We start from the raw sequence: 19942 nt of genomic DNA, 5'->3' as shown, positions 1-19942 counted from the left end.
GAATTTTGATAGGGCTCTCAGTGAATCTGTAGACTGCTTTGGGTAGTACTGCCATCTTAATAATACAGTCTTTCAATACATGAACACAGGATTGTGGCAGGCCAGGTCTCACTAATGCAGGCCTCCATAACGACTGTTTCACTACTGACTGAAGGGTTAAGTTAAATATTAAAAGTCAGTCTCCTTATACAAAGGCTGGGATGCCACAAAAGCCCATCAAGAGTTTTGCCTAGGTCTTTCCTGGGCCTTAAAGCATGACAAAATAATACAGGAATTCTTAACAGGGCCCATTTAGGATTGAACAAGTTTTATTGTGGGTCTGAAGAAACTCCCCAGGCCTCCACAAACAAGTTTATCGGGGGTCTGAAGGAACTCCCCAAACCTCCGTGATTTAGCAGGAGACAAGGGTAACTGCCCCAGCACCTGGACCCATTTAGATTAAGTAAATTTACTGAGGCTCCAGAGGAAGGCCTTCAGGACTCAGACCTTAGTTATAGATTAAAAGAAGTTAATCACTTACATCCTTAGATGAATGCACACTTACACATGGACATATAGCTTAGAAGGTATATAAGCTCTGGAAAACTTTGTAATTTTGAATTGGTCTGGTGATAATTTCCAGGCCTTCTCCCTGTAACCGGTTGCAGAAATGAAAACTCCCTTCCTCCCCAGTTCATTTGCATCTCGTTATTGGGCCACGAGAAACAGCAGCCCAAACCTCAGTTTGGTCTGGGAACAAAATTTGGCGTGCCAGCCAGGAGAGACTGGAATGGTGCTGCATTCAGTGGCCAGTGGCTTGCAAGGAGACAGTCTTTAGGGGGATCCCAGCAGCTGCAGGTGAGATTTTCCCAGGGACCCCCTTGAAGGCTGTCCTGTGCTCAAAAGTGCACAACCCTTACAATGCTGGGTTAGAATGGAGATCAGGAGCGGACGAACTCAAAGGGTGAGTTAACTGAATGGTATGCTGGGAGCCTATTGTTTTCCCATCTAGGCTTGTTAAACCATTTGTCTGGCACTGCCACGGGAAGCAATAATAAGGCTTGGTTATACACCCGCTTTGCATTTTGATTGAGATCAGGTTTTGAATCTGTTTTGCCCGAGTGCACTTCCCCTTGTGTTGTCCAAAATTTGTCTCCACTTGTTTATCTGTCTTACTCCTTTTGATACCATGTAAACTTAAAAATGGAAGGTATTGGGTCCATTCCTGCTGAGAGGCCTCTGGGAAGGAAAATATAATTTTTAGGAGCTCAATGGTTAAGTCAGCTTAATTAAAAGCTAACATCCAAGATATGTAAATGTATGTGTGCATGTGTGCATGCTTGTATTTAAAAGGCCTTTATGTTTTTGTTTATTTCTTAGGACCTTGTCTTTTTGAGCAAAAGTTTTTTTCTTCTCAGTTGACTGAATTCTGTTTTCTTCATTAATAGCTATTGCAACAGAAGCTACTCTGGGTTTTTTAAGAAAAAGTGTAATTTAGACACTTAGAAATCTCTTGTGTGGGAAAAAAAATTTTTTTTAAGTGCACTGTAAAAGCATCACATGGTCTAGCCTCAGAATAATTCTCCCTTTTTGAAAACCTCTTTCCTTTATAAATTACTCAGGTTTCTTTGTAGCACCATGAGAGTGGACTAATACATGTCTTTCTAGGAATTTGTCTGTAAACTAGTTTACCTAGTTTATTGGTGTACAGTTTTTCTTTATGTAAGGTGACTAATAATGTCCCCACTTTCATTTCTGATTTTAGTTTTACCTGTTTTATTTTTCTTAGTCAGTATGGCTACAGATTTGTCAATTTGGTCTTTCTTTTTAAAGAACTAACTGTTGACTTCTTTGATCTCTCTTGTTTTTCTATTCTCTATTTGTCTGCACTCTAATCTTAATTTCCTTCCTTCTTCTCACATTGGGTTTAGTTCTTTTTTTATTTCCTTAAGGTGTTATGTTAGATTGCTGATTTGAGATCTTTTTTATTTTTTAAATTTAGCTCACTAACTCTTATCTTTATTATTATTGTTATTGACACTGTTAAACCAACAGTTGCAGAAGTGTGCCACGAGTTTGTGGTTACAAAAGTGTATATAATTTTTTTTTAGTTTTTTAATTGTAACGTGTAAAATTTACCATTTTAAATATTTTTTAAATGTACAATGCAGTAGCATTAAGTAGACTGACATTGTTGTACAACCATCATCACTGTTTATCTCCAGAACATTTTTGTCATCCCAATCTCTAATTCTATACCCACTAAATAAAAACTTCCCATTCTACACTCTCTCCAGTCCCTGATAACCACTATTCTGCTTTCCATCTCTACAAATTTGTCTCTTCTAGGAACTCATATAAATGGAATCATTTGACATTTGACTTTTTGTGTCTGACTTATTTCACTTAGTATAATATTCTAAAGGTTCATCTACATTGTAGCATCAAATTTCATTCCTTAAGGCTGAATAGTATTTCTTCACATGTATATACCAGATTTTGTTTATCTATTCATCCATCGATGGACACTGTGTTACATCCACCTTTTGGCTATTGTGAATAATGCAGCTGTGAACACTGTTGTACAAATACCTATTCTAGTTTCTGCTTTCTTTTGGGAATCTACCTAGAAGCAGAATTGCTAGGCCATATGGTAACTCTATGTTTAATATTTTGAGGATCTGCCACACTGTTTTCAACATTTTACATTCCCACAAACAATGCATAGGGGTTCCAATTTCTCCACATCTTTGACATTTATAATTTGCTTTTTTGATAACTGCCATCCTAATGGATGTGAAGTGGTATTAATTTGCATTTCCTTAATGAGTAGTTATGCTGAGCATCTTTTGATGTGCTTATTGGCCATCTATATATCCTTTTTGGAGAAATGTCTATTCAGGTCCTTTGCTAATTTTTTTTGTTTTTGTTTTTTTTTGAGAGGAAGTTTCACTCTTGTTGCCCAGGCTGGAGTGTAATGGCGCGATCTCGGCTCACTGCAGCCTCCACCTCCCAGGTTCAAGAAATTCGCCTGCCTCACCCTCTCCAGTAGCTGGGTATACAGGCGTCCACTACCACACACGGCTTATTTTTTGTATTCTTTTTTTTTTTGAGACAGAGTTTCGCTCCGTCACCCAGGCTGGAGTGCAGCGGCGCGATCTCGGCTCACTACAACCTCCGCCTCCCAGGTTCAAGCAATTCTCTGCCTCAGCCTCCCGAGTAGCTGGGAGTACAGGTGCCCGCCACCATGCCCAACTAATTTTTTGTATTTTTAGTAGAGACGGGGGTTTCACCATCTTGGCCAGGCTGATCTTGAACTCCTAACCTCAGGTGACCCACCCACCTCGGCCTCCCAAAGTGCTGGGATTACAGGCGTGAGCCACTGCGCCAGGCCAATTTTTTGTATTCTTAGTAGAGATGGGGTTTCGCCATCTTGGCTCGGCTGGTCTTGAACTCCTGGCCTCAGGTGATCTGACTGCCTCAGCCTCCCAAAGTGCTAGGATTACAGGCATGAGCCACCATGCCCAGCCCCTTTGCTAATTTTTATTGGGTTGTTTTTTGGTGGTTGAGTTGTAGGAGTGCTTTATATATTCTGGACACTAGACAGTTATCAGATATATGATTTGCAAATATTTTCTCCCATTCTCTGTGTTGCCTTTTCACTGCATCTTTTAATGCACAAAAATTTGAAATTTTGATGAAATTCAATTTATCTATTTTTTCTTTTGTTGCCTGTGCTTCTGTTGTCATATTCAAGAAATCATTGCCAAATACAATGTCACGAAGCTTTCCCCTTATGCTTTCTTCTGAGACTTTTATAGTAAGTAAACCTAAAAGAAAAGGCTGAAGAATCAATTGGAAGTAGTTAAGCTAGACAAAGACCTAAACCAAAGCACTAATTCTGGGGGAAAAAAGGAATAGTCGCAATAAAGAAGGTAGATAAATTTATTGCCACTTGAAAACTAAATATAACTCAGATGAGTCAGACAAAAAAAATCATTGACATTAAAATTATTATTATTTGACCAGGTTTGTCTTTTGAAGATTTCTCTCACAGGCACTTCTGCAACAAATTTGTATAATTTAATATAAATATTTTGTGATTATTCTTAAAGGCCAAGCAATGGGCATTTATGATGGCTAATCATAAATACACAATAATATATATTACATAGTATATATTAATTGACAGGTTGCATTTTTTCTTTGAGCTTATACACTTTTGGAAAAAGTCTACCTTTTATAAATATCAAGTTGGATATTCTTGTCTGTTGCATTTGCTAAATAAGAGTCAATAGTTAAGAATCTGTTTCTTTTATATATGTCGGATTGTATCCATTTGGAATACAGAATCCCCTGCATAAAACTAGCATGTTTTGCTGAAGTACTTGTTAACTTGGCTCTAAAATATTTTTTATTTTCCTAATATATAGCATTTATTTTTAAAAGATTAATCCCTTCACCCATTTCTGCAAGGCTCTTTTGTAGCTCAAAAAATTACCATAAAGGGAAAGAAAGTCCTCCAGCTCCCTACTACAATTACTTTAGAATTGAGGTCAGAAAACTTTTTCTGTAAAGGATCTGCTGCATCTATTCAACTCTGCAGTTGTAGTGCAAAACCAGCTTAGACAATAGCACATGAATGGGTGTGGCCATGTTTGACTCATGGTTGTAGTTTGCCTACCTTTGCTTTAGTGCATCTAAATTAACACTGTTCATATAAAATATCCAGCAAGATAAACAATAATTTGGTGCTAAAAGAGAGTTACAGAATCTTTTTCTTTTAGAGTCTTTTAGGAAAAGTATCATGTATTGCTTGGAAAGTATTCTCTATTTTAAATATATCTATACAGTTTCTTTCTTTCCTTACCCTGAGATATTTATTAAGAAAGGGTAATCTGGAGTCTAGTACATAAAATATCTTTGGGTGTATACATTATGTAAATAGGAAGTGATATTATTTCTAGCATTGTAAGAACCCCAGCTCCCAAATAATAATGACTCTTGGGTAATAAGGAAGTACCTTAGCATGCCTCCAACATATTGACTGTTAAAGGGCAATCAGTTCTCCCCGGCAGTGATTGCAGCAATTGAAAGTTATATTTTCATATCTAGTATAGGGATGAAATCGTCCAATATTTTTCTTTGTAGCAAGTAAGGTGGTTGGTGAAGACTCAAAAAATGGATTATCAGGTGAACTCTCTTTGCAGGTAACTGGATCTAAAATTCTTAGAACCTAAGGAAAATAAGATATAATGTCAGAAGTATGCAATATAGATGGTAAAAGCCTAAGATTTCATTGATGTATACCTACCTATAAAGTTTCACTTCATTAATATATAACTATTACTAAAAAAACAGAATGACTAATCTGATTGAAAAGACAACTTACTTCCTTAAGCTGTAAATTTAACAATGATGTCTGATTACTATATTATCTAGGTTACATATTTTTTTAAATAATGACGTTAATGTTTTACAGATATTGGTAGGAAAGCAGGAAAACATAGAAGAAAATGAGGTTATATCATTATGTCTTTTTTTTTTTTTTTTTGAGATGGAGTCTCGCTCTGTGGCCCAGGCTGGAGTGCAGTGGCGCGATCTCGGCTCACTGAAAGCTCTGCCTCCTGGGTTCACGCCATTCTCCTGCCTCTGCCTCCCGAGTAGCTGGGACTATAGGCGCCCGCCACCATGCCCGGCTCATTTTTTGTATTTTTAATAGAGATGGGGTTTCACTGTGTTAGCTAGGATGGTCTCGATCTCCTGACCTTGTGATCTGCCTGCCTCGGCCCCCCAGGAGGTCAGTTTTTTTACATGTCAATTATATCATTAAGTGATGTCAATTTCTTTTCCTTAACCAAAATGGACTTACTACTTCCCCTCTTCAATCTTTCATTCAACTGCTCAGAATCAGGATTTTGTTTTTATTCTTCTATGGAAACGATATTTCAAAATCCTTGATAACTTTTTATCTGTAGTATCAATGGCTTTTCATTTCTCTTTTTCTAATTTATATGCAGTATTTTATGATTACAGCCACTTTTTGTTTCCTGGGTTCCACAACACAATGCTCTCCTAATTCTTCTTCTGCTCTGATTTTTCCTAATCTGTCTCCTTTACTGAGACCCAAAACAGGAACTCTTGAGCTGAAAAAATTTCTCCAGTTAAGGGCAGGGATAACGTGCCTGGCTCACAGCTCTTGATTCTCATGTTCCTATTTTCCCAGTCATCACCACATGATGTGTTTGGGTTATGGTACAAAGGTAGCAAGCACTGCAATTGGAAAGAATTCTGAAATGAATTGGGAAAAGTGCTTTCTCTCTTTCTTATATAAGGCTTGTTCAAAGCAGCTTTCTGGAATGGTTGGTGATGCCTGTTTCCCTAGCGGTCATGTGGTCCTGCAGATTTTTTTTTTCCCTTCTAAGTTACCACCAAACCCAAAGAGCCATCACTACTCTAAGAATGTCCTGGCATCATTTAAGAGCCATCAACTTACTTTAGCACCTCTATTTTTCAACTAGACTGCTTTTTCAATTTAGTTTTTGAGATCCTTCTATTTTTATGGAAGTTTGTTTGGTATTAGAGGATAAGCAAAGATGAAGGGCTTACCTTAACATTGCTTATAAATTTAGAGGAGAAAATAAGTTCTCAAATACTATAAAGATGTTATTACATTATAGGTCTTTATAGAGCGAGAAACAAAATGCTAAGGGAATTCAGGAGCAGGAGACTGACCCACTAATATGAACAGAAAGGTTTCTGTATTTTAGCCTGAAAGTGATGGGGAAGGATTTTATGCAGGGTGCCTTTCAGAGAGATCATTCTATACACAGTGTGGGGGATGGGGGAAGCAGTATGCATAAGCAGACATAAGAACAGAAAAAGGGAGGTTATTGTAATAATCTAGCTAAGAAATGATGGCACCTTGAAGCAATGGGACTGAAAAGTTTAAGAGACACTAAGGAAGAAGGGCTGTCAGTTTTGTTAAATAGGAGAATGTGGTGGATAAAGGTCTGGGAGAAGAAGGGGATCTAAATCAAGCCCTGAGGATACCTAACATTGTATAGTGAAATAAAATGGTTGGATAAAAGAGAAAAGCCTGTAAGCTATAAAGTTATATAAACCTCGGAAAGAATAGTTCGAGAAAGAGGGAGTGGTCAACTATACCAAATGCTACTGGCAGCAACTAAGTAGGCAGTGACACAATTTCCCAACAAAGAGAATAGAAAAGGAGAAACAAAATTTTGGATAAAAATGATTAATTTTAGGTACTGACTCATTCAGTAAATAGCTGAGCACTTAGTATGTGCAAGGGATTATGCCAGACCTTGAGGAAACATAAAAACACAAAGTCCCCAGCCCTTTAGGAGTTTACAATTTGGGAGAGGGATGGAAAATAAAACTATTATAATTTAATACAGTAAAGAGCAGTTACAGATATAAGTGCAAAGTACAATGGAAGGATGGAGAAGGAACACTTCAGATTGCCAGCAAGATTCAGAGAAGGCAGGTTCTTAAAGGTGGTACAGAGGTTGGGCAACAAAAGAGGTGTGGGGAGGGTAGTCCAGACAAGAAAAAGTATGTACAGAGGCATGAGATACAATGGCCTATGTGCATCATGAAAAGTGGTTAAACCCTGCTGGAATGTTAAGTGCAGTGGGTAGTGACACTTGGGAAATGATTCTTGAGAAGGGGAGATGGAAGAAAGATTATAAAAAGCCTTCTATACAATATGAATGAATTCTGATTCAATAATGAGGGAGACTGGGAACTGTTTGATGACTGATTTGGCCTTCTGAAATAACTCTCTGCCAGTAGTGGGTGGGCAGGAGCAGCTAAGAAGGAGGGCAGGGATATCAGTGAGGGGGCAACTGCAGTGGGCTAGGCTGGAAGTCAGGTGTTTGAACTTGGGAGGGGATAAATTAGAAAAAAACTGGTAAGATCTGTAAAATCAACAGGACTAGGGGAATGAAGGAAATAGTAAAAACGATAGCTACCATTTATTGAGAAATTACAATATATTGGAAACTGCTGCAGGCTTTATATGTGTTTTTTATCGAAATCTGAAAACAGCACTATAGAGTAGGTATAATTCATCAAGATAGGGAATACAGGAAAAGGAGGAGATTTTTAGGGGTGGGGGGTTGTACAAATGCAAAAGCAAGGAGAAAAGAGATTATATTTTTAGCCATCTGTGGAACAAGTAGATGGAAATACCTGGCTGGATATAAATCTCTCAGACTCAGAAAAAAGTCTGAGATGGAAAAGTCACAAGCATAAAGCTATGGTAAACAGAATAACACCAAGAGAATAGAGAAAGTATGTTATGTAAAGAAAGCTCAAGAGGGGTCACAGGAAGAGGATGCCCCTCCCCCTCAAAAACTTAGAAACAATGGTCACAAAAGTAGTGAATCGTTTCAAGAGTATGGTGTTTAGGAACGAAGAGATTTTGAAAAGGGGAACACAGATTCCTATGAAACATGAACATCTAAAGGAGGAAAAAAGTCTATGAAGAAGAGCTCAGAGAGGTAGCATCAGGGCCAAGAAAGAGTGATGTTACAAAGGTCAAGGGAGTTTCCAGGAAGGAATGCTCGATACAGTATAATATGATAGTAAATGTTCATGACCTTTTTAAGAGTACTTACTGAGAATAGTGGGGCAGGAAGTCTACAGATTTAAGTGACGGTAGGAATTGAGGAATGGATGGTGTTTAAGTACAAACATGTCTGGACAACTTGTCCAAGATTCTTGGATGTGAAAGGAAGGTGATAAAGCCATATCCAGACATCTTACAATAGAGGGAAGATTTTTCTTTTTTAGATGAATGATGCTTGGACATGTTCTTAAGCCAAAAGGAAAGAGCCAACAGAGAGAAGGAATAACTGTTGAGGGTGAAGCCAGGGCCTAGAGGGGAGGTATGCTTAGGAGAAGAGGAAGGACACCTTTTCCTCTGAGAGAAATGTATGCTGCCATACAGATAGGCTTCTAGATATCTAATGAAACCTTCAGGCAGTTTTCTGCCTCTGTCCCCTTTTTCTTCTGTGGATTAGGAAGGAAAGTCATCTGCTGAATGTGAGGTAGTATTTGATGGGTACTGAAATAAAAAGGCAAACAGCTGAACTGACACAGGACTGGGGTTTGCAGCATACTCGGAGAGGAAGATAAGGCAGTAAGGCACTTATGAATAGAGTCTAGGAAAGCTATGTGGGAAGAGAAACTAAAAGAGTGAGCTGATGAGATACATAAAAAAATATAGGGACCAAGGGAATAAAAACAATTATATGATCAAAGATGTGTTCACATCCAGGGAGTCAGAATGAAGAATCAGAGTTGGAAAGAAAAAAAGTTGAGATCACAGATCACAGAGACAGAGATGTTGAGTTGAAGATTTTAATAGTGCAAGAGTTATGGCGACAGGCAGGGACCCAGATGGGGACATGAGAGTTGTAACGAAGGTGAACTTGGTTGTTGTCACAGACATGTGAGATGAGTATTTGACAAGCCAGCTGCATGGACCCTGAATTCATCCAGGACTATACTATCTGTACTGTAGTATTTGATACATTTCCATCTATATGTGGAAATTAAGTAATTTCTTAGATCAGAAGTAATCTATGAATCTACTAATTTAATCTACATTAAAAATTCTACACAGTGGTTTTTATATCAAAATGAACTCATGAAAAGGATTATCAGTGACTTAATAGCTAAAACATAGGACCTCTTTCAAAACAATTACTTTTTTTGTCCTTAAAAATAGAACAGTAGTGTTAGAAAATATTAAAGCGCAGAAGAGGAAATAATTTTCTCCAAGATAACACACTCAATAGCATGAGTGGTTTAGATCCCACATTTCCTAATTCCTAATGCCAAATGCTTTCCATGATATGTCACCTTTCAGTAAAAGGACAGTGTTAGAAGTTCCATAGATCACAAAAGAAAATATTTTACCGTTTCAGCCATTTTCTCAGCTGGGGTGCTGCAGAATTCAACTGTTGATGGAATCTTTTTTTGATTGTTAATGCCAACATTTCCCAGAAGATGAGAATTTACTGCTTTTGCCAACTTGTGATTTGTTAATGCTAGCTCTGCTGTGCTGTGGGGTTGTACACTAGGGGAGTAAGTTTGCTCTCTTCCCCATTGCAAGGAAACTAAGAGCTCCTCCAATAATCTGCATAGAACACACATGAACACCGGACATAGTAAGAGAGCAAAATGTAAAAATTAATAATAGTAAATAGGTAATACAAATATTTCTGAAATTATATAACATCTTTCTCTGATCCCTTTCTCTCTCAGAGTTCCATAAATTCGGATGTCTTAGTCAAGTAAGTTAGACTACAGAAAGCATATGTTAATCTACTAGGTTGTTGTATGAAAATCATTTAACAAACAGTACTTTTCTTTGTTCTCATCTTTTAGTATAGGAACTACTTACATAATTTGTGCAACTATGGGGATATTCATACGGTTTTTCTTTTTTGGTGAGTTACATTAATTGATTCTTGAATGCTAAACCAATCTACAATTCCTGGGATTCACTTTACTTGGTCAAAATGTATAAAACTTTTTCTGTATTGTTGGACTTGATTCACTGAAATTCTGTTAAGGATTTTTGCATTTATGTTCATTAGAGATATTAGTTGGTGGGTTTTGGCTAATGGTTCTGATATCAAGACAATGCTGGTCTCATGAAATGAGCTGGAAATTGTTTCCTTCTCTTCTGTTTTCTAGAATAATTTTTATAAGTTTGGTTTTATGTCTTCCTTAGATGTTTACTAGCATTCATCAGTGAATCCATCTAGACCTGGAATTTCCTTTACTGGAAAATATTTAATTTTTAACTATAAATTATATTTGCTTTAATAGGTTAGGGCTATTCAGGTTATCTATTTGTTCTTGAGTAACCTTTGGTAGTTTGTCTTTCATGGAGTTTGTCCATTTCATCTAAATTACTGAATTTATTGACATGGATTTGTTCATAACATTTCTGTATTATCTTTTTTATGTGTATAGAGTCTATATTGTACCCCCCCCTTCATTCCTGATACTGGTAATGTATATCTTCTCTTTTTTTCCTGATTAAACTGGTTAGACGTTTCTTGTGTTTTCATTCTTCTAATTTCCCCTATAATTTGCTCTTTGACACTTACTGATTCTACGTGTAATAAATCAACTATATAAAAATGCAAAAGGCTTTTAAGGAAGACCATCAATTTTGATAGTTCTGGAGTATATGGACATGAAAACAAGCTCTAATACTGTAGGAAGTCTTCAAAAAGATCTCTTTCCACAGGAGAGACAGGTACACTCCTTGGCTTCTACCGAAAACTGTACGACTACAACTATTACCAGCAATTGCTTTTAAATCCAGAGAATCCTTCTACTACAGATATAACTAATTATTTCCCCAATTAAGAATGTGAAAAGCATGCCTTCTATTTTTTCAGTCCTCTTCCCTCCCAGAGCATCTATTTTAAAATGCTACTAAAAGTATATGCTCAGTAAGTTATCAAATGTAGACACACCCAAAACAAAAACAAACAAACAAAAAAACCAAAACTACAATAACTTAATTTGCAGGAGAAAGCAGAAGAGTTCAGAATGTAAACAAGTGCCATACTTCTGGGTAGCTATCATTTCTTGACGAAACTGTTCCCGTTCACTTAGGAGATCTTGTATAGCCCCGTGTGCATCACGGTTTTGACGCTGTAAAGCTGCTCTTGAGTTGGTTAACTCATCTGCCATTACCCTGAAAAAGATTAAAATCTTACATATAAATTTGCTGACAATAATACAGTGTAAAAAATTGAATATACTACTTTGTGACTGTCACTTTCAGAAGCTAACAAAGATTTAACAGTATAGTTACTTCACAGTTTTTAAATTTTAGCTAAAGAGCATTAAAAATGCTTATTAGCTTAGAGTTCATTAAAGGGATTCAGTTAAAATATTCATTTAGACAATGACAAAGGCAAGAGTTATTCAACTTTCCTATATAATGACTTTTGGAGTACATCTCAATCTTACTCTAGATTGACCAAAATTTGAAAGAAAAAATTATTAAATATTTTTAAATACAGAAAAACTTAAAGAGACAAACAAAACTAAATTATCTTCTTCACTCAATTACCTCTTTGCCCCCAGAAAAATATTAATATAAAAAGATTTATATAAAGTCTTTTGTCATGCCCAGCATACCTATCCTTTTATATGCAGTCAACAAAGTTTTTTTACACTTCTCAAAAAAAAATTTATGTATATTTCAACATATACATGTGTTAAAAATAAATTTATCCACTTTATTTACAAAAAGAGATACTGAATACGAACTTTTCTAAATCTTAGTTTTTCATTTAATAATTTATCTTAGAGACTTATCCATATTAGCACATATACAGCTATCTCATTCCCTTTTTTCAAAAATTAGCTTCATGTTTTCTACTGATTGGATACACAAAATTTTATTTAACCAGTTTTCTATTGATGGAATTGAAGCAAAATGTTCAAGTATGGTTAATCGGCTGAAAAATTTAAAATTAAAATTTAAGTCTGAGACTGCAGTTACTACCAAATTCCTCAAAATGAAAACAATGTTGACATTAGAAGATTACATCAATTAAAATACCAATAAAGTCATATTTAATTTTTATTTAAAAATCTAATGAAATGTTACTATTGGTGTTGATCAGGATGTTAAAAAGTTGCATATTGCAAAAATTTGTACAATATATTCATGATTTGCCTCTTAAAATGTACAATGAGAATTAACTCAATTAACTTTCATTCTAAGTGAATAAATAGTTCATTTTTCCAAATAGCATAATGAACTAGCACAATTAGGAGATAAACAAAAGACTGTTAAAGAGAGTGAACTACTACTACAAAGTGTCAGAGATATTAAGACATGAAAAAACATTTTCCTAAAAATGTATTCATCAAAATCAATGGTTCCTCAAATACAACCTGTAAACCTTTGGTTGTTTTATGAGAAATCTCCAGATGATTCAATTTAAATCAACAGTTATGAAACATACTCTATAAAGTATTTTGCTAAGTTCCAGAAATACACAGATGGATAACATCCAGATCTTGTTATCTAGTAACTATCAGTTGAGGCAGGGAGGGGATAAATAGACAAAGAATCATACTATATAGCAGTTTCCCAACCACCAGTGTGTTGAGAGGCCTGGATGAGAACCCCAGGGTTTTTGCTGCCATATGAGAGTAGCCTCATCCAGTATGTCATAAAAATGTTATAATTTTCTATTTGTGCATAGAGAGAAAAACGTTGGGAAGCTTTATTATATAGTTAAAAGAACAATGAGAAAAGCGCATTTAGAATGAATAATATTATCTTGGGGAGTCCAAATATTTGAATGGGGAAAAATAATTTAGTTTGGCTTTTTGTGATTTTAATGTTTACTAGATGTCTGAGTTTACAGTTTTGTTTCAGTCTTAAACATTATATTTTTACTATACAGTAAACTAGAACTCAGGAATAAGGGATGATCCTTATATCACTTCTTCATTTAGGGAGACTGTGTGACTATCCAGAGGAGAGAGAGTCCACATCTTAAATGAAGTACTCTGATGACCTTAGTCAGAAATTTTCACACTACAATCTACTTTCTTGTGTTATAGATCAAAAACCTGATGGAGCAAAAACTAGGAAGTGAAATACTATTTGCTGTAGAAAATACCTGCTTGCAAGGAATTTACTTCGCCATACATCACACTGTATTGACATACGTTCTAACTGTTCAGAAAGCTGAGCTGTGTTTCGACCTAGGGCTTCATTTTCTAAAATAAGCTGATTTTTCTCACGGGCTAGACGTTCAAAGTGATACTGAAGATCATCCCCAACAGAAGCCACCAGTAACTTTTTTAACTCACGATTTACCTAGAAGAGAACGTAATCAATACAACAAGCTCAAAGTAATATCACTAACTTTAATGTAACAAAATTAACAAAAAGAGACTGTGTTTCTGTGTAATTTTGGACCTCCGTGACTTGAAGTTTCTATCAAAAAGTAAAATTAAATATTTAAGTTCCATACGATATACAAACCATCTCTCTCTACTTCTCTCCATACATCTATATCCACAGTCCATGTGGTAATAAACTGAGCCTCTTGTAGTAAGAGTAAAAAGAATTATGAAAATAACAAATTGCTTCTAGTCAACACTTAAAGGAAAAAAAATTAAAACAAAACCAATATATTTTGATAAAAAATATGACAGAGAATGTTTTATGTTTTTTATTAAACATTTATAAGTTAGTGTATTGCATCCTAAGAATTTACTTTTAAAAAATAAAGCAAAGTAATCCAGTATGTTTCTAAGTATGTTCTTTACATCATTACTGAAAAGAGCAAAAAATTAAAAGATATCCAATAACAGTTATTGGTATATGGTATAGCTATTGAAGAACACTGTTACTATTAACAATGACACTGTAATAGAATATTCTGTGACATGGCAGAACATTAATAACTGAAAAAAGTGGGTTGTGACACTAAATGAACTCAATGTATATGGTTATGCACGTATAGCTGGATGAAATGATTCAGGTGGCACTATTTTCATTGTGTTTTTCTGTATTTTCTAAAATTTTTACACATAAATTTGTACTACATTTTGTAATGAGAAATTAGTTATTTAAAAATATATTTGTATAAAAACACTAACCATGGTCTCACTTATGAAGACTTGTATCTAGCCAAAAGATGCATGGTCTAATAGAGAAACAAGGGAAGGGGCAAGGCAATTTTTACTAAGATGCAAAGATTAAAGCAACACACTTAAGGGCTACAGATTTTTTTCATTTACAATGAAGACACAGTAAGTTATATCGCCATTCTCTTTATTCCAAGTATCCCGTATACACAAGCAAAACTACTTGGAATTTACGGATCCTTAAAACAAGGACTGCTGGTCAATTACTATGCCTGACTTGGTCAATCTTTGGTCTGGCAGTTTATAATTGTAACCTACTTTTACAACTTATTGGTGGTCTTGTCCAAAGCACCTCACACCTCCATCTTCAATGAGGTTTAGAGTATAAGTTCCCAATATAAAGTATCCCTAGAGAACTGAGAAAGAATGAGAAATTTAAGAGGAAGCATTTTAGAGAACTGACAAGCTAGGATGAATGACATTCCCATAAAGAAATGTAGTTTTCTAACATGCACGTTTAAAAGGTCCAGACGTAAAGAGTAGTACTCATTTTATCGATTAAGGCTCTTCTTACCTCTGTCTGTACACGGAGCTGGTTTGAAAGACCTTCTTTGTCCTGTAGTAACCTTCTTTCAGAATTCTTGAGCTTTTCCAATACATTCTTTACCTCTGAGAGTTCCTTATTAGGTTCTATAACTCCCTCTGACTGACCAAGGAATTCTCCTTTATGATGTCCCAGAGACTTAACCTTTGTATTTTTGTTGGGGATATCATGAGTTATAGCAGCTTTGGGAACTAATATTCTTACAGCTTTAACTTCCATTGCTTTTTCAGTGAGCATTTTCCCTAGCTGAAGAACTCCTGGGCTCTCTGATGGAACTGCTTTCTTCCATGGACTCTGAAGACTATGATGCTTTCTAGATTGGACTCCGGAGGTAACTTCAACAGATTTAGGTGGTTCCTCAGTTTCCATTCCATCTCCTGCTCCTCGGATTGGGGATGAAGTAACGGTGACTAACAAAAAGGAAACAAAACAGAAACTACTTACCAAGAAGAAATGCCAAGAAAATGCTAATACATGCTATACCCTATATTCAAAATTACTGGCACTAAAAAGAATGCAAAAAAAAAATCAGAGAAAAAGTAATTTTCAAAACAATCATGTGTCAACAAAAGATACATGTTTAAACTTTCCTTCAGTAGACAAGAGATTTGGAATCAGAATATTTGGTTCTGACTTTTACTTTCTAGTATAACCCTGGGTAAATAATTTAATCTTCCATGAATCTCTATTTCCTAATTTGCAAAACGGAGATCATAACAACTTTGCTATAGAATTTTGGTAAGAAAAAATGTAATAAGATGAAATGCTTGGCATACTGTAGACACTCAATAATGTTAGTTAAAATAAATGTCAGCTATATAGATGCATATTTGAAACCATCTACATCATAAGAGATTCATCTGTTTTGTGAACTCTTGGAGTAAGAGGAAGCAACATATATGTTACACCGAAAAATTTATTAAGAAAAGATTCAATCCTATTCTTAGGCCTAACAGTTTATGTCCTGCTTACACAAGTGAAACTACACTGGATTGTCAGATTAAACATCCTTATACCTCACTTTCACCATATCATACCCAAATTCTTTTATTGTTCTCTCATTCCCTCTAGTGGCTTTCAATTTATTTTGAGTGCACTGTATTCCCAATAAAATGCCTTGCATGTAGTGTGTGTGTATATATATATATATGTATATATGTTATAAACAATAAATGAATGATAACAAGGGGAGGGACAAAAGACGAGCACACAGATCAGTAACAATGGTTATAATGATGAACTCTGAGTGGTCACGGGCAGCAAACATGATGCTGGGTACCTAATGAAGGCTAGACATTCTATGAGGTAAGACCACTATGCTTAAGAAATTTACTACCTAATTTAGGGGACAGAACATACATATAAAAAGATAAAATGTATTACAGGATAATATATAATAAGTGTGCAGGTAAGTGGTATAAAAATATTTCAATAGAAATTTTATGTCTATAGAAACATTAAGGACAATCATGAACTACTGATTGGTCTTCAGTGAATTCATCACTGTCCAGCCAGACCATATATATATATATATATATATATATATATATATATATGTTTTATATATATATGTTTTATATGTATATATGTTTTTTATATATATGTTTTATATATATATGTGTGTGTGTAATGTAATCTCCTAAAACAAAGACTTAAAACAGAATTCCTTTTATACTTGTAACAGTAATAAATTTCGTAAGCTTAACATATTTTTTATTTTATGGCTAGAATATATTCCCTTCAAGTTAATATAGCATTTACTTTCTTATTCTACTGTTGAATATTTAGACTCTTTACAATTTTTCACTATAATAAATAAGGCTTTATTGAACACTTTTATGCCTACATATTTTTCTTAACTTCTGAGTTATTTTTTCAAATAAATTCCCAAGCATAAAATTAATGGGTTTGGTGAAGATCTGTACGGCCGAAATGCCTTCGAAAATCACTCTACCAGTGTATCTGTGGATCTATGCCTAATATCCTTACTATTTATTTATTTGCATGCTCAATACCTATGATTTATATTGTACTTAAAAATAAATAAGAATACATGTAAACTGTTTAGAATGGTATTTGACACAGTAAGCACTCATTAAATGTTAGGTCCTATTGCTTTTATTATTCTTTAAATAAATTCCTAATAAACTTTGGATGTTGATATAGACAGAAATAAAGTTAATTTATTTAATGCCATAAAATACAATTCTGACTTTCATTCTGTTATGTAAATCTTAAAGTTATATTGCTAGACTATAGGACTATTTATTCAAGTAACAGATTTACTTTTTTCAAATTTTTCCCATGTAGAAATGTTCTGGGAACCTCGAGTTATGTTAATTAGACAGGAGGTGGAAACATAGCTGAGGTATAATTAATGTGTTCTATTTTACAAAACATTTTACATTAGAATAAAATCGTGTCATTTCCATATGAAATGTAAACTAAGTTTAAACACCCCTTGGGCCTTGGGATTGACTCTACTTTTAAAAAGATAAACAAAGGAATACTTCAGAAAGTGAAATAAAGGCCTAACATGCTGGGTTTGGTAAATTAGTTAAAACAAAGCATGGTAGCACTGACAAGGAGAACTTCCACTGAATCATTTAAAAACAGCTTACTGCAGCCTTGACTTCCTGGGCTCAGGTGATCCTCCCACCTCAGCCTCCCAAGTAGATGGGACTACAGGCATGTGCCACCATGACCAAATAATTTTTTGTATTTTTTTTGTATTTTTTTTTTTTTTTGTAGAGACAGGGTTTCATCATGTTGTCCAGAATGGTCTTGAAATCCTAGGCTCAAGCAATTCTCTGGCCTCAGCCTCCCAAAGTGCTTGGATTACAGATGTGAGCCATCACACCCAGCTACCTGTATTCTTAAAATCTGATTTTAAGTTTGTCTAAACTTAACTAACTTGTCTAATCTTGTCAATAAGACATTCTGGCATTTAAGAAGTAACACAGAATCATGTATTAACTATAAATTAATAAAAACCATCAACAATAAAAACACGCACTACAGCCATGGTTCAGGCCCACTGAGGCTGAGGAAATAAAAAACAGGTGTGATACTTCCATTATGGTCAAATAAAATTTCTAGGCAAGCTGTAACATTTTTGAGTTGGAATTTTAAGTAACAGAGATTCAAGAACAAATTACAAAATGATTAAAGTTAAATTTAAAAGGCAAAGAACCATTAATAGGTATTTAACAGAAATCTCTTTTTGAACAAAATACCTTGTTGGAAAATCAAGAAGTTCAACCAACTTGTTTCCACCCCAATTTACTCTTAACTTTATTTAAACTGTTCTACTTACTCAAGCATTTATGAATATCAAAGTTGTATTATATATTACGTGAGAGCTCCCGCTCAGTAATAACTATGATTCTAGCTAATGTGCATAGGTAAACAGGCCGTAAGAGCCAGGGCTTAACATTTTCTCACCTGGTAACTTTCGTAATTCGATTTTTCCTTGTGACATACCTAGAAACCTTTATTACATATGCAGTAGGCACAATCCAGGACACATTTACGAATAATTACCTTCTCTCAATTGGGAAGACAAGGACCTATGGTAACAGCTCCATAATTATGAGTAACGCTTAAGTCAAGAAAAACACCAATCCTTATTCTTCCCCACTATTTGAAGGGAACCAACAAAACAATCCTTAAATTATTCATCATCATTACTTCCACCTGTGATCAATTATCAATGAATTAAAACATATCTAAGGTTTGCTCATTCGTATTGCCTACCAGGATTGGTGAAATGTAGGGAAAGAACAAAGAAGGTCACTAGTCTAACATTCTAGGATGGGAGCTGGCAAACTTTTTCTGTAAAGGACCAGAGAGTAAATATTTTAGGCTTTGTGAACCAAAAGGTAAAATTGAGGATACCATGTAAGTATTTAATAAGAGAAAAAAAATTTATTGATGAAATTCAAACTATAACAACAATAATTGAAAACAATTTTTTGATAACATAGGTCTAATAATGGGAAGAACAGATTTTTTTTTAATTCAGGATAATGTTTGGCTTAAATAGTGTTAATGTCCACTATTATCAAACTGATTGCAGATATTCTCAGGAGGCTGAGGGCCACAATTTGCCAACCCTTGCTCTAGAATATTGAGGCAAAAAAAAATTTATTGTCTGTCATTGAACAAATATTTCTCTTTTATTCATAAAACTTCAATCTATGATGAGAGGTACTCTAAGTCAGCAGAATGGGGTAGTGAAAAGAAATCTAACTCACTAGAGCCTGAGTTAAAATAACTTAAGTCCCTACTGCCATGTATTGTGTGACCTTGGACAAAGCACTTAACCTCATCCTCCTCCCATCCCTTGGTGCTTTCAGAGTAATGCAAACATGGTAGTATATATTTTAAAAATAATTTGTTTCTCTTGTAGACTAGACTGTTGGGAGCTCTTCAGGGTATGGACCGCCTCCTAATCTTTGTGTCATGAACTAATAAAATGGTCCTTGTCACAGAGAAAATGAATAAATGCTTACTGAAGCTCATTAGTCTGTTAATACACTACCTAGAGTGTTTCATTTTTAACATCCAAAAACTAACCCATTTAAAAACTGCTTTATTTTTTTTCCTCTACCCTAAATCATTAATTCCTAACTTGGTTATAGTCTGAAAGACTTTCCAGAACATATACAAATTCAGCTA

The 19942-nt window shown here is 35.0% G+C and overlaps 1 protein-coding gene across 3 annotated transcripts in view; it reads right to left on the bottom strand.

Moving 5' to 3' along the window:
- Positions 1–19942, bottom strand: part of BLZF1 (basic leucine zipper nuclear factor 1) — a 28381-nt gene that overhangs the window by 4364 nt on the left and 4075 nt on the right. Inside the window, exons 3-7 of one of the 3 annotated variants that reach the window (NM_003666.4) lie at positions 15233–15672; positions 13683–13882; positions 11603–11731; positions 9931–10150; positions 5003–5215 (exon numbers count right to left, since the gene is read on the bottom strand). In NM_003666.4, the coding sequence (NP_003657.1) occupies positions 5030–5215; positions 9931–10150; positions 11603–11731; positions 13683–13882; positions 15233–15672 (1175 nt within the window). In that variant the 3' untranslated portion in view covers positions 5003–5029. Of the gene's footprint in view, positions 1–3906; positions 5216–9930; positions 10151–11602; positions 11732–13682; positions 13883–14828; positions 15673–19942 lie in introns of those variants that run through there. The other 2 variants (NM_001320973.2, NM_001320972.2) reach the window with 2 other exon arrangements.

The sequence above is a fragment of the Homo sapiens genome, chromosome 1 (genome assembly GCF_000001405.40).
Source record: "Homo sapiens chromosome 1, GRCh38.p14 Primary Assembly".
In the NCBI taxonomy this organism is placed as follows: Eukaryota; Metazoa; Chordata; class Mammalia; order Primates; family Hominidae; genus Homo; species Homo sapiens.
The sequence above is the reverse complement of the archived record's forward strand: the minus strand, read 5'-3'. Positions and strand labels throughout refer to the sequence as shown.